The sequence below is a fragment of the Homo sapiens genome, chromosome 12 (genome assembly GCF_000001405.40).
Source record: "Homo sapiens chromosome 12, GRCh38.p14 Primary Assembly".
NCBI classification, from domain to species: Eukaryota; Metazoa; Chordata; class Mammalia; order Primates; family Hominidae; genus Homo; species Homo sapiens.
In genome coordinates this window covers 57073743-57088649 of record NC_000012.12, presented here as the reverse complement: position 1 = coordinate 57088649, position 14907 = coordinate 57073743, and the positions used below count along the sequence as shown (strand labels likewise).

General features: G+C 48.3%; 1 protein-coding gene across 7 annotated transcripts in view, besides 5 other annotated features; it reads left to right on the top strand.

Moving 5' to 3' along the window:
• Positions 23-14907, top strand: part of NEMP1 (nuclear envelope integral membrane protein 1) — a 32985-nt gene continuing 18100 nt past the window's right edge. For 3 of the 7 annotated variants that reach the window (XM_011538058.4, XM_011538056.3, XM_011538060.3), the window contains exon 1: positions 23-836. In XM_011538058.4, coding sequence (XP_011536360.1) covers positions 566-836 — 271 coding nt within the window. In that variant the 5' untranslated portion in view covers positions 23-565. Of the gene's footprint in view, positions 837-1337; positions 2102-9858; positions 10032-14907 lie in introns of those variants that run through there. The other 4 variants (NM_015257.3, NM_001130963.2, XM_024448900.1 and 1 more) reach the window with 3 other exon arrangements.
• Positions 215-264: an enhancer, noted in NCBI's record as "active region_6525". NCBI's record gives its function as "activates an Ori minimal core promoter by ATAC-STARR-seq in GM12878 lymphoblastoid cells {active_cell/tissue: GM12878}" and the evidence as "EXISTENCE:reporter gene assay evidence [ECO:0000049][PMID:35858748]".
• Positions 945-1004: a silencer, noted in NCBI's record as "silent region_4570". NCBI's record gives its function as "represses an Ori minimal core promoter by ATAC-STARR-seq in GM12878 lymphoblastoid cells {active_cell/tissue: GM12878}" and the evidence as "EXISTENCE:reporter gene assay evidence [ECO:0000049][PMID:35858748]".
• Positions 1185-1334: a silencer, noted in NCBI's record as "silent region_4569". NCBI's record gives its function as "represses an Ori minimal core promoter by ATAC-STARR-seq in GM12878 lymphoblastoid cells {active_cell/tissue: GM12878}" and the evidence as "EXISTENCE:reporter gene assay evidence [ECO:0000049][PMID:35858748]".
• Positions 9885-9934: an enhancer, noted in NCBI's record as "active region_6524". NCBI's record gives its function as "activates an Ori minimal core promoter by ATAC-STARR-seq in GM12878 lymphoblastoid cells {active_cell/tissue: GM12878}" and the evidence as "EXISTENCE:reporter gene assay evidence [ECO:0000049][PMID:35858748]".
• Positions 10055-10304: an enhancer, noted in NCBI's record as "active region_6523". NCBI's record gives its function as "activates an Ori minimal core promoter by ATAC-STARR-seq in GM12878 lymphoblastoid cells {active_cell/tissue: GM12878}" and the evidence as "EXISTENCE:reporter gene assay evidence [ECO:0000049][PMID:35858748]".

The window sequence follows — 14907 nt, the reverse complement described above, 5'->3', positions numbered from 1 at the left end:
GAGAGAGGAGTTTCACAACCACGCACAAGTACACAAAGACACAGAAGCGCACGGACGTGCACACGCGCCTAAACAACTACGGGGACGCCCGTTGCCCATACTCAGGCCTTGTGGTGCTGGACGTGTGAATGTTAGCAGTGAGCCGGGAAAAGTTAGCGAAGGCTGGGCTGTGCGGCTTCTCCTGTGCGTGCATCTGACTCCCGTATAGTGTGCACTTAAGGCGGGCCTGAGAGCGTGGGGCTCTGCAGGGATCTCCTAGATATCCCCGCGCCCCTCCTCAGCCCCAATGGAATAATCTGAGGGGGTCGCTCTCAGAAACCCAGGCCTCCATGCTAGCCTGGAAAGTTTGGGAAACAGGAATGGGAGGGTTATGCTGCACGCCACCACTTAGGTGCGCGTGTTGATTAGACGCGTCGGCTTTTGTCAGCGCGTAGGTCAGGCAGGGATTCCTCCACTTGTCCTCTGTTTGCTGAGGATGAGGCCCTGCCTGGGAATTTTGTGTGACAAAGACGATACCCTTCCTGGGGCCGTCTATTAGGGACCTCGCCCGAGAGTCTAGTGGAAGATGAGTAAGAGGTCGGGAGCCTACGACGTGACTTCCTGCGGCGGAGCTGGAAGGAGGAGCGCCTTGAAGGAGCTTAGCCCCCGCCTCTGCAACCCACCACCGTCTCCCCCTTTGGTTTCTCCTAGCCCCATCTGGTTCGCATTGCACTCCCGCCCACGGCTGGGAGGGCTGTTGGGGGAGGCGGGGGCTCTAAGGGCCCGGCCCATAGACTCTAAGCCCCAGGGAAAGGAGGGGGGGTGGGGGCCGGGGAAAGCGAGCGGACTGGCCACAGGTGAGGTTTCCCCTAGTCCGGAATCTCAGCCCCGCCCCGCCTCTCTGTCCGCACTTCTGAGGGGCTGGGGTGGGGCATGGCGGGGCGTGGAGGCCGTGGACCGGGGCTGGTTTTACAATGTGGCCTAGCGAGGAGACCTTTCCGCCTTGTGGGGTCCGGGGAGAAGGAGCGCGTTGTTGGTGGGAGGATTTCAGTTGCTCAGGTCCTCTTCTCCAACCTATTAAGCGCCAAACACAGTGGGGGTGGTGGGAACGAGCAGAGTCCCGTCTCCCAGTCCCCCGCCCCGCAACTGGAGGGTGCGGCTAGACGGGCTCCCCTGGGGACGCTCCCGACCCCGTACGGGGTGTGGGCGACCCCTCCCCCCCCACCTCAGGTTATTTTGGATCCCGGGCTGCCAGCCGCTGGCCCCGGGTTTCCACGTGCCCCCTCCCTCCCCCAGCCCACGCTCCCCGTGACGCACATCCTCCGCCCACGCAGCCTCTGCTCGAGGCGCCCCCCTCCCTCCCACCCCGGCCCCCTTGGGGCGGCGCTGAGCCTTAGGATCTGGAGGGAGACGCCCGCCCAAGGAGGAGGCGGAGTAGGGCGTGAGCAAGTGAGCGGCAACCTACTGGGCGCGGGGCGCCCGGGTCCCGGTCCTGATCCGGGAAAGAGGGGGAGGGAGGAGCCGATTTTGAGCTCTCCGCTCCCGGGTCCTGGGAGAGGGGGTGCTCGGCCAGAGAGGGACGAGGGAAGAGAAATTCCGCAGAAGGGGCCTGCCCACTCCCCTAGGGGAGCCAGCGGGGGTCCGGGTGCGAACCCGTGTGTGAGAGTGAAACTACCGGGTGTTTGTGTCTTTGTGCCCTTGTTTCTCAAGATTGTCGTGAGATTCGGATGAGAGAATGTACGGGAAAACTCTCTAAATTGTAGAATGCTAAGCATATTTAAGACGCTACTGCCAGTTTGTGTCTCTGTACCCGAGATTATGTATTTATATGTTTCTTTATATCCACTTGTATATCTGTGTTCCTCTCTCTCTCTAGGTTTGTGTATGAGCCCCTATTTAAAAAATCATTGACTTGTCAGGGCCCGCCAGAGGCCCAGAGCGCCCCCGCAGCCCGCAGCCAGAGCTGCCGAGATGTCTGTTCTTCCCGCCCACTCCTGCCACCCCCAACTCCCCTCCTACTCCCTTCCGTTGAGAACAAGGAATTTCCAGCCTGTAGCAAAGGGAAAGAGGCAAAGACAAAGACGGAGACCATGGGAAACTATAGAAAAACATAAAGAGACAGGTGTGTGTGTGGGGGGGGGGGAGTGGTGACAAAAAGGGAGTGGGGACAAATACAAAAATTTTCATTTGTTTCCTGCATGGGACCTGTTCTCCCCTGTGTCCCCTTGGCTCACTCAAAGAAGGACCACTTCTGTGCCTGACTCACCTGCTCTCCCCATCCCCAGTGCTCTCAAAGACAGACCAGAGGAACTGATCTCGTGATAAAAAGGATTAATATTCTTTTATCTGTGCTGGTCTCCTCCGTGAAGGGAAACAGTATCCTCAGTCCTAGTTTTCCAAGAAAAGGGGAAACGATTGCGAGGAAAGGGAGGAAAGTGGGCGGAAGAGGAGTGCAGAGACTGTCGTCCCTACGCGCACGTGTAGATTTTCATCTAGCAGATTGCTCTGCTCACTCCTCCCCCAACGTCTCCACTGGGCCAGATCCGACTCACTCAGCAAGGTTTGGCTCACCCTCTCCTTCCTGGACCCCTTCCACTCCTCCAGGCAGAATTAATTCCTCCCACCCCTCGGTGGCCTCCTCATTGCTCTTTGTACACATTTCCAATTATAGTTGCTTGTTTCAGCCGAAATCCAGGACCTCTCCAGGATAGGCCTGTTATCTGGTGGACCCTCTGAAATGAATAAATTGATCCTATTCACAGGCCTGTGCAACTTTGAAAGGGCACATGACACAGATTTTACTCCCAAAGGGGCTGAGCCTGGGCAAAACTGTTTAAGTGAAGACATTTGTTTTCCATATCTCTTTCCCTTGTAAAGTTTCCAGTGAGTCCCACAAATCTGGCTCCTTGGCCTTCTAAAATGTCCACCATTCTGGTAAATTAATTCACACTCAGATGCTAAAGGTAGTAGGCCGAAGTCCTGGCTGGTAATAGAAAAGTATAAAGTAATGATCCCTTTTTTCTCTTTCAGTAACATGGCAGAATTTATCATCTAAGGAATGTTGTCCTTCAAGTTAGTTATTTTACAAGAAATGTTTCACTCCTGAAAGACAGATAATCCTAACCACTGCCTTTAAGGAGCTCACAGACTAATAGGGGAAATAGACCTATAAACGAATAATTACAACATAGTGCAATAATATGGGTACAACAATGACAGAAGTATAAGAGGGTGAGTGATCTGTTCTGCTTGGAGTTGTGAGGGGCCTTGGTTTAGACAGGCATCCAAAGGAGGTGATGATGCAGTCAGTATGAGATTTCCAGGAGTGGCCAGGGCGGTGGCTCACACCTGTAATCATAGCACTTCAGGAGGCTGAGGTGGGAGGAACATTTGAGCCCAGAAGTTGAAGGCTGCAGTGAGCCTTGATGGCGCCACTGCATCCCTGCACCACAGAGCAAAAAGTGAGTCTCAAAAACAAAAAACAAAAACAAAAACAAAAATTCTAGGAGGAAGGGAAGTCAAGTCAGAGAGGCCAGAAAGTGCATTTCCATGGAGGTGGAGGTATGAAACAGAGTGATATGTTTCAGAAACTATAAAAGGTTGTTCATTATTGCTGGGTGGTGGGTGGAGCTGGTTAGAAACGAGCCTAGGGAGGTGTACAGGTACATTACATTAAAAATATTTTGGACCAGTGCTTTTCAAAGTATGGTTAAGGACCAATTTTTAAAACATTTCCAATCTATTATTGTCCACTACTTTTGTAGAATGCACTAAAAATGAATTATTCAAAAAACAAAATAAACTACCATTTTGTTAGATTCAATAAATATAAAATTTCTCTGTCAAATTCCTATAAAACTTTCTAAATGCTTACACTTAATTTCTGAAATTGTTTCATTACAGATTGGTGACAAACATTGAATAACATTATTATAGTTATTTGTGTCTTTGCCTCTGAGTTTTAGATCATACTAAGGATGTTGGACTTCATCCTGTGGTGTTACTGGAACCATAAAGACTCTGGAAACAAAGACTCATGGCATGGTCAGATCTGCACTTAGGAGCAGAGTGGAGGAAGGATTTATGGCTGCAAAAACAGTAGGAAGGTCAGCTTGAAAAATACTGAAGGACCCTCTCAGTTGAAAGATGGCAAGGCACTGGCATGGGGGGAAAGAACAGATTCAAAATATAGAAAATAAGATCGACAGGACTTGATTGATTGGCTGAGGGGTTGAGAGGAGAGAATGAGGGTTTAGGGTGACTCTCAGGCTCCTAGCTTGGGTGACTGAGTATGTGGAATGGAGTGTTCCTTCTCAAAACTCTGGAATAGCCTTCATCAAATATTCGTGGCCTGCAAATCCTTTATCCACAATTCCTAAATTTAAAAAAATTATGAAAACCAAAAGCTTGACCGGGTACTGTGGTTTATGCCCTTAATCTCAGCACTTTGGGAGGCTGAGGTGGGTGGATCACCTGAGGTCAGGAGTCCAAGACAAGCCGGCCAACATAGCGAAACCCCGTCTCTACTAAAAATACAAAAATTACCTGGGCGTGGTGGCGCATGCCTGTAATCCCAGCTACTCGGGAGGTGGAGGCACGAGAATCGCTTGAACCTGGGAAGCAGAAGTTGCAGTGAGCCGAGATCGCGCCATCGCACTCCAGCCTGGGTGACAGAGTGAGACTCGGTCTCAAAACAAAACAAAACAAAACAAAACAGAAGAAAACAAAAATTAACTGGGCGTGGTGGCGGGCGCCTGTAATCCCAGCTACTCGGGAGGTGGAGGCATGAGAATCGCTTGAACCTGGGAAGCAGAAGTTGCAGCAAGCTGAGATCACGCCATTGCACTCTGGCCTGGGCGATAAAAGCAAAACTCCGTCTCAAAAACAAAAACAAAATCTTTTTCATAACATATTTGACAATAAAACCTAATCTGAACTGAATTTATTTTGTGGCAGAACCTGACCTAAACTTACATAAGGTTATTTATAGTTTTCACTTTTCCATCTTTCACTTACCACAGTATGAAGTCATATGTGTCATTCCAGAAATATTAATTTGTTTGATTACTGGGTGCTGTCCTGATGCATTGGGATTGTTGCTTTATATTTTGTATATGCACCATACTATCTTTCAAAAATCCAAAAAATTTTGAAACACATTAACCATCCAGATTTCCCACCCCATTTACTCATCAGTGTTGGCCTGAGTTCTTTTGGCTATTTGCATAAATCCAATCCACCTGCAGATAATGAATATTCATTGCATTGTGTGTTATAGACTCTGAAGGAGATTCTTGTTGTTTTGAGCAGTGTCCTCATTAAAACAAAGCTAAAAGCTTCTTGAATGACTATCTTGAAATGACAGCACTCATTTGGATGATAAGTTGTAATGTGTTTATGGACAGCCAGTCTCATTACCATACACTTCATTTATATATTTTAATAGTCAGTGGTCAGTGATCTTCTGAAATTAGTTCCCCTGGATTTGCTTTAGTGAAAACCAAAGAGCAAGCTCTGAATGATGAGAATGGGGCCTGATAAAAAAAAATGAAGTATGTGTATATATATGTGTATATATACCTACACATAAAAAAATACATATACATATCTATACATATATATTAGCCTTTATTTTATTTTATTTATTTATTTTGAGACAGGGTCTCACTCTGTCACCTAGGCTGCACAGTGGTGCAATCACAGCTCATTGCAGTCTTGACTTCCCAGGCTCAGGTGATTCTCCCACGTCAACCTCCCAAGTAGCTGGGACCACAGGTGCATGCCACCACACCTGGCTAATTTTTTTTTTTTTTGTATTCTTTGTAGAGACGGGGTTTCACTATGTTGCCCAGGCTGGTCTCAAACTCCTAGGCTCAAGTGATCCACCTGCCTCGGCCTCCCAAGACATTGGGATTACAGGCATGAGCCACTGCACCTGCCCAATTTATTCATTTTTTTAGCAACAAGGTCTTACTCTGTCACCCAGGGTGGAGTGCAGAGGCATGATCATGGCTCACTGCAGGCTCAACCTCCCAGACTCAAGTGATCGTCCCATCTCAGCCTCCTGAGCAGCTGGGACTACAGGCACGTGCCAACACACTTGGCTAATTTTTGTATTTTTGTAAAGACAGAGTCCTACTATGTTGCCCAGGCTGGTCTTGAATTCCTGGGCTCAAGCCATCCTCAGACCCGGTCTCCTAAAGTGCTGGGATCACAGGTGTGAACCACTGAGGCTAGCCAACTTTATTTTTAGAAACATTACATGTACAGAAAAATTGAAAAGATAATATGGTGAATTCCTATATACCCTACATTCAATTTCCTCAATTATTATCTGACATTAGTATGGTACATTTAGCACCATTAATGAAACAGTATTGAAACATTATTATTAACTAAAGTCTACAGTTTATTCAGATTTCCTTTGAGTTTTTGTTGTTGTTGTTGTTGTTTAGACTGAGTCTTACTCTGTCACCGGGCTGGAGTGCAGTGGCACTGATCTTGGCTCACTGCTGCAACCTCCGCCTCCCAGGTTCAAGTGATTCTCCTGCCTCAGCCTCCTGAGTAGCTGGGTTTACAGGTGCCCGCCATACGCCCAGCTAATTTTTGTATTTTTAGTAGAGACGGGGTTTCACTATGGTGGCCAGGCTGGTCTTGAACTCCTGATCTCGTGATTCGCCCGCCTTGGCCTCCCAAAGTGCTGGGATTACAGGCGTGAGCCACCATGCTCAGCCTCCGTGTTTTTTTTTGTTTTCTTATTTTTTGAGACGGAGTCTTGCTCTGTCGCCCAGGCTGGAGTGCAGTGGAGCGATCTCAGCTCACTGCAAGTTCCGCCTCCCAGGTTCACACCACTCTCCTGCCTCAGCCTCCTGAGTAGCTGGGACTACAGGTACCTGCCACCACGCCCGACTAATTTTTTTTATTTTTAGTAGAGACGGGGTTTCACCATGTTAGCCAGGATGGTCTCCATCTCCTGACCTCATGATCCGCCCGCCTCAGCCTCCCAAAGTGCTGGGATTACAGGCATGAGCCACCGTGCCCAGCCTCGTTTTTTTAAACTAATGTGTTTTTCTGTTCCAGGATCCCATCTAGACCACCACATTATGTTTAGTTCTCAAAAACATAATGGGCTGGGCATGGTGGCTCATGCCTGTAATCCCAGCACTTCGGGAGGCCGAGGCGGGCAAATCACCTGAGGTCGGGAGTTCAAGACCAGCTTGACCAACATGGAGAAACCCCATCTCTACTAAAAATATGAAATTAGCTGGGCGGGGTGGCACACACCTGTAATCCCAGCTACTTGGGAGGCTGAGGCAGGAGAATCGCTTGAACCTGGGAGGGGGAGGTTGCGGTGAGCCAAGTTTGTGCCATTGCACTCCAGCCTGCTCAACAAGAGTGAAACTCTGTCTCAAAAAACAAAAACAAAAAAGCCCATAATGATGTTTGGATGACTTTGACAGCTTTGAGGAGTACTGGTCAGGTATTTTGTAGGATGCCTCTATTGGAATTTGTCTAATGTTTTTCTCAAGATTAGAGTGGTGTTATGGGTTTTGGGAAGGAAAACCACAGAGTTAAAATGCCATTTTCATCTCATGTTATCAAGGGTACATAGTATCAACATGATTGATGCTGACTTCCCTAGGTCAGCTGAGGGAGTGTGTGTGTGAAATACAGGATGACCATATCAGCACTGTTGGCCTAGACTTTTCCTTCTGAGAATGAAATCTCTTCTCTTGCCCATAGCTCAGCCCCATTTTGACTTTTTTTTTTTTTTTTTGAGACAAGAGAGGCTCGCTCTGTCACCCAGGCTGGAGTGAAGTGGCATGATCTCGGCTCACTGCAACCTCTGCCTCCTGGGCTCAAGCAATTCTTCTGTCTCAGACTCCTAAGTAGCTGGGATTACAGGAACCTGCCACCATGCTGGGCTAATTTTTGTATTTTTATTAGAGATAGGGTTTTGCTGTGTTGGCCAGGCTGGTCTCGAACTTCTGGCCTCAAGTGATCCTCCCACCTCAACCTCCCAAAAGTGCTGGGATTACAGGCATGAGCCACCATGCCCAGCCCATTTTGACTTTTTTTTTTTTTCTCTTTTGAGACAGAGTCTTGCTCTGTCACCCAGTCTGGAGTGCAATGGGGCGATCTTGGCTCACTGCAGCCTCCGCCTCCTGGGTTCAAGGGATTCTCCTGCCTCAGCCTCCTGAGTAGCTGGGCTTACAGCCACCTACCACCATGCCTGGCTAATTTTTGTATTTTTAGTAGAGACGGGGTTTTGCCATGTTGGCCAGGCTGGTCTCGAACTCCTGACCTCAGTTGATCCACCCGCCTCGGACTCCCAAAGTGTTAGGATTACAGACCTGAGCCACCATGCCCGGCCCATTTTGACTTTTAAAAAGGTCCTTGTTTTAGACCAGGTGCAGTAGCTTACTCCTGTAATTTCAGTAATTTGGGAGGCCAAGGTGGGATAATCACTTGAGGCCAGGAGTTTGAGGTCAGCCTGGGCAACATAGCAAGATATTGTCTCTACAAAAAGTAATTAAAAAAAATTAAGCCAGACATAGTGGCTCATGCCTGTAGTCCCAGCTACTTGGGAGATTGAAGTGGGAGGATCATTTGATCCTGGGAGTTCGAGGCTGCAGTGAGCTGTGGTTACACCACTGCATTCCAGAAGGGTTACAGAAGGAGACCTTGTCTCAATAACAACAACAACAACAACAACAACAATGAAACAAACAAATAGCTGGGCATGGTGGTGCATCCCTGTAGCCCAACCTATCTAGGAAGCTGAGGTGGGAAGATGGTTTAAGTCCAGGAATTCAAGGTTACACTGAGCTGTGATGGTGCTGTTGCACTCCAGCTTGGGTGTCAGAGAATGACCCTGTCTCTAAAAACATTAAAAAAAAAAATTCTTGTTTTGAAAGCTTGAACCTTCCCCAGGAGATGCCCCCTTCCTTGAATTCCTCAATTCATTTGGCTCTATCATCTGTAGTTTTCCTACCCATCACCATCAGATCCTCTTAAAAAAAAAGTTTCAATTTCTACTAACAGTTTCTGAACACCTGGATCTCTGCTGGGCCCTGTGTTAAATCATTGAATGGGAAGCAGCTAATCCATATAAATAACTCCGGCTTTGGAGTCAGTAGGATTTAGGTTGGGATCACAGACCAGATGAACTATGAAATCTTGGGCAGGTTCCTGTGGCTGTCTTGGCTTTGGCTTCTTAAATGGAGAGAATTATATTTGTCTCACAAGATGATAAGAGGAATAAATGAATCTTTCTTAATCCTAACATTAATTTTACTTCCAAAAATAAAAATCCTATGAATACATTTTTAAAAGCTAATGTTTATGCTTATAAAATATTGACACACACTTTTTTGTGACTTCTATTTTAAATCCTTTAGGACTTTGGAGAACCACACTTTTGTCAGTCGACTTTAAAAATCGTCCTATCAGGGTCCTACTCATAAAGCGATCTCAATTGTAGGCGTCTCATAACAGAAAGGTCGTGATAAAAAGTAACCGAAAGAAAACGGAAGGAACTTCAGACAGCTTCTATGGAAATACCGAGTTTGGTCAAGGAGGCCTCTCCCATTCCGATTTTCTATTGGTTAAACTTACCATCAATCACACCAGTTGTAAATAAACTGAAGACGGAAGCATGTTGTTAGCGGGGTGGGATCTTCCTGTCGCCACTGCTAGGGTGAGAACCCATTTTCCAATAGGCTGAAAGCTGCTTTTCCCGCCCTCTCTCTTCAGTTGCTAAGGGGCGGGACTCATAGGGCCCTTGGAGGGCTGGGTGCTCGAAGCCCTGCCCATCCCATTGGTTGATAGGGGCGGGTTTCGTAGAGGATAGGCTGCTGTCGTTGCCCGTTCGGAGTTAGTTGCTGGGGTAAGGCACGTGAGGAGGAGGTGGCTTGAGGCAACCATGGCGGGAGGAATGAAAGTGGCGGTCTCGCCGGCAGTTGGTCCCGGGCCCTGGGGCTCGGGAGTCGGGGGCGGTGGGACAGTGCGGCTACTCTTGATCCTCTCCGGCTGCTTGGTCTACGGCACAGGTACCGCCCGGGCAGCAGCTGCCAAGGGGGCAGGTGCCGAGGGGGTTATTTTTGGAAAAGGGATTGTCCCGAGGGCGCGGGCCGTTACTCTGCAGAAGGGCGGTGGCTCTACCGAGGGCCGCCGGCGTAGTGTGGTGGAAGAAACTTGGCAGGCTAGTGGGCGTCGGGACTGAGGGTCTGGGCCCTGAAGCGGGCTGGGGCAGCTTCCAGAGTGGGGAGGAGCCTGAAGCCTTTTGGCGGAGACAGGAAGGGAGGCCTAGACTGGTTGAGAAGCAGTCCTGGGGGCTGTGTCTCGTTGCAGAAGCCTTGAGTTTCTTGGTTAAAAGCGAGAAAACCTGGGGACCATTCTGGGCAGGCAGAGCAGCCGCGGGAAAGGGACCATCTCATTCATTCGGCAAATCAGCAAACACCATCTGAGCGTATGCTCTGTCAGGACGCAGGGCACGGGTGGCAGAACGGATGTAGTTGACAGAAATGCAGTGATCTCTACTATCTTCTGCTCTTGTAAAACCTTGATTCCTTACCGCCCCCGGCCCGCGAGATGGAGTCTAGCTCTGTCACTCAGGCTGGAGTGCAGTGGTGCGATCTCGCTCACTGCAACCTCCGCCTCCTGGGTTCAAGCAATTCTCCTGCTTCAGCCTCCGGAGTAGCTGGGATTACAGGCACCCGCCACCGCGCCCGGCTAATTTTTGTATTTTTAGTAGAAATGGGGTTTCACTATGTTGGCCAGGGTGGTCTCGAACTCCTGACCTCGTGATCCATCCGCCTTGGCCCTCCCAAAGTGCTGGGATTACAGGTGTGAGCCACCGTGACCGGCCAAATAATGCATGTTTATTTTAGATGATTTGGCAAGGTACAATTAAGTATAAAGAAGCAGGCAGAAACCACACTGTTAATCCATTCAGAAGCAATCTATTTTAGCACACTTTCTTCTGATCTTTTTCCACATATTTTTAATTTTTTATGAATTGATAATTTGTATCCAGTTAGTACTCTAGTTCTCTTCCCTGGAGGCTGCCAGTCGTTACCAGAGATAGTTTTCTCGTTTGATTTTGTAGTACAATAATTTTCCCAAGTAATTTAAAATTCTTTTTTTGTTTTTTTGTTTGTTTGTTTGTTTGAGATGGAGTTTTGCTCTTGTTGCCCAGGCTGGAGTGCAGTGGTGCAATCTCAGCTCACTGCAACCTCCGCCTCCTGGGTTTAAATGATTCTCCTGCCTCAGCCTCCTGAGTAGCTGGGATTACACTTGCCCGCCACCACGCCCGGCTAATTTTTTTTTTTTTTTTTTAAACAGAGTCTCCCTCTTTCGCGCAGGCTGGAGTGCAGTGGCCAGATCTCGGCTCACTGCAAGCTCCGCCTCCCAGGTTCACGCCATTCTCCTGCCTCAGCCTCCCGAGTAGCTGGGACTACAGGCGCCCACCACCACGCCCGGCTAATTTTTTGTATTTTTAGTAGAGAGGGGGTTTCACCGTGTTAGCCAGGATGGTCTTGATCTCCTGACCTCGTGATCCGCCCGCCTCGGCCTCCCAAAGTGCTGGGATTACAGGCATGAGCCTCCACACCCGGCCTTAAAATTCTTTGTAAATGTTGTCTTACTTGTATTACATTCCAATGTATGTGCAGATGTTCATTTAATTTTTTTTCTCCACCCCCCGCCCGCCCCGCCCCGCAGAATGTAGTCTTGCTGTCTGGCCCAGGCTGGAGTGCAGTGGTGCAATCTCGGTTCCTGTTTCAAGCCATTCTCCCATCTCAGCCTCCCAAGTAGCTGGGACTACAGGCATGTGCCACCACACTCGGCTAATTTTTTTTTTTTTGAGACAGAGTTTCGCCCTCGTTGCCTAGGCTGGAGTGCAATGGCACTATCTAGGCTCACTGCAACCTCAGCCTCCAGAGTTCAAGCACTTCTCCCTCTGCCTCCCGAGTAGCTGGGATTATAGGCGCATGCCACCATGCCTGGCTAACTTTTTGTATTTTTTGTACAGACGGGGTTTCACCAGGCTGGCCAGGCTGGTCTCAAACTCCTGACCTCGTGATCTGCCCACCTCAGCCTCCCAAAGTGCTGGGATTACAGGCGTGAGCCACCACGCCCAGCCACACTCAGCTAATTTTGTATTTTTAGTAGAGATGGGGTTTCACCATGTTGGCTAGGTTGGTCTCGAACTCCTGACCTCAGGTGTTCCGCCCGCCTCAGCCTACCAAAGTACTGGGATTACAGGCGTGAGCCACCATGCCTGGCCTTCATTTATTATTTTTTAGTGACGTGGTTTTGCTGTGACACCCAGGCTAGAGTGCAGTGCACAATCATAGCTCACTGTAACTTCCCACCTCGGTCTCCCCAAGTAGCTGGGACTACAGGCACGTGCCATCTGCCTGGTAAAAATCATTATTAATGTTGTGGATTAAACATTTGGTTGGATATTGGTGGTTTGTACTGTTGGTTGGATATTTGTGGTATTTCTAGTTTTTCATTGTTGTAAGTTTGTGAACATCTTTGTGTATACATTTTTATTTATTTATTTATTTATTTTTTTGAGATGGAGTCTTGCTCTGTTGCCCAGGCTGGAGTGCAGTGGTGCCATCTCGGCCACCTAGGTTCAAGCGATTCTCCTACCTCACCCTCCCGAGTAGCTGGGATTACAGGTGTGTGCCACCATGCCCGGGTAATTTTTTTGTATTTTTAGTAGAGTGGGATTTCGCCATGTTGGCCAGGCTGGTCTCAAACTCCTGACCTCAAGTGATCTGCCCGCCTCAGCCTCCCAAAGTGCTGGGATTACAGGTGTGTGCCACCATGCCCGGGTAATTTTTTTGTATTTTTAGTAGAGTGGGATTTCGCCATGTTGGCCAGGCTGGTCTCAAACTCCTGACCTCAAATGATCTGCCCGCCTCAGCCTCCCAAAGTGCTGGGATTACAGGTGTGAGCCACCGTGCCTGGCCTTATTTTTTTTTCTTTTTTTTTTTGTAGAGATGGGGTTTCATCATGTTGGCCAGGCTGGTCTCAAACTCCTGAGGTCAGGCAATCCCCTCACCTTGGCTTCCCAAAGTCCTGGGACTACAGGCGTGAGCCACCACGCCTGGGCCCAACTATTTATTTATTTATTTATTTATTTATTTATTTATTGATATTGAGATGGAGTCTTGCTCTGTCGCCCAGGCCGGAGTGCAGTGGTGTGATCTTGGCTCCCAACTATTTATTTATTTATTTATTTATTTATTTATTTATTTATTTATATTGAAATGGAGTCTTGCTCTGTCGCCCAGGCTGGAGTGCAGTGGTGTGATCTTGGCTCACTGCAAGCTCCACTTCCCGGGTTCATGCCATTCTCCTGCCTCAGCCTCCCAAGTAGCTGGGACTACAGGCGCCCGCCACCGTACCCAGCTAATTTTTTTTGTGCTTTTAGTAGAGATGGGGTTTCACCTTGTTAGCCAGGATGGTTTCAATCTGCTGACCTGGTGATCCACCTGCCTCGGCCTCCCAAAGTGGTGGGATTACAGGTGTGAGCCACGGCGCCCAGCCCCTTATTTATTTTTTTGAGACGTAGTCTTGCTCTGTCACCCAGGCTGGAGTGCAGAGGCGCGATCTCGGCTCACTGCAGTCTCCCCTCCCAGGTTCAAGCGATTCTTCTGCCTCAGCCTCCCAAGAAGCTGCGATTACAGGTGCCCGCCACCATGCCCAGCTGATTTTTTTGTATTTGTAGTAGAGACGGGGTTTCACCATGTTGGCCAGGCTGGTTTTGAACTCCTGACCTCAAGTGATCCGTCTGCCTTGGCCTCCCCAAGTGCTGGGATTTCAGGTGTGAGCCACCATGCCCGGCTGGACAGTGGTCACTTTTAAATCTTGAATTAGCTGATATTAAATACAAATTGAGAGGAGAATCTTCTGTTTTGGTAAATCAGAGGGACTGCATGTAATCATTGCCTGCTGTTAAAATTTGAAGTGACACAAAACAGCTGGAAGGAAACAACCTTGAAATCTTTTAGTATCCTCCAAAAGTACTATATATTAAAAATATTGCTGGCTGGGCGTGGTGGCTTACGCCTGTAATCCCAGCACTTTGGGAGGCTGAGGTGGGTGGATCAGTTGAGGCCAGGAGTTCTAGATCAGTCTGGCCAACATGGTGAAACCCCATCTCTACTACAAAAATACACACACACAAAAAAAGTTAGCCAATTGAGTTGGCTCATGCCTGTAATGCCAGCTACTCAGGAGGCTGAGGTGGGAGAATCGCTGGAACCTGGGAGGCAGAGGTTGCAGTGAGCCAAGATCGCACCACTGTATTCCAGCCTGGGTGACAGAGTGAGACCCTGTCTGAAAAAAAAAAAAAAAAATGCTGGCTGGGCATGGTGGCAGATCTGTAATCCCAGTGCTTTGGGAGGTCAGCGTGGGTGCTTTGGGAGGCCAATGTGGGAGGATTGCTTTAGGCCAGGAGTTCAAGACCAGCCTGGGCAACATAGTAAGACCTTGTCTCTTTAAAAAAAAAAAAAACTAGCTGGGTGTGGTGGTGTATACCTGTAGTCCTGGCTACTTGGGAGGCTGAAGTGGGAGGATTGTTTGAGCCCAAGAGTTTGAGGCTGCAATGAGCTATGATCACATTACTGTACTCCAGCCTGAGCAGCAGAGCCAGACCCTGTCTCAAAAAAAAAATAAAAAAATAAAATAAAAAACCTGCCAATTCTGTTCTACTCAGGAAAGGGATAGAGAAAATCAACAGATGGAGTAGTTTAGCTTACTTTATTCCTTTATAGGACAGGAAGTATATCTAGTGTTTAAGACCATAGTCAGACCTGGGGGTGAATCTCAGATAGGCTATTTACTATTTGTGTGATTTTGGAGCAAATTACTTAATCTTTCTTAAACATCAGTTCCTCATTTATAAAA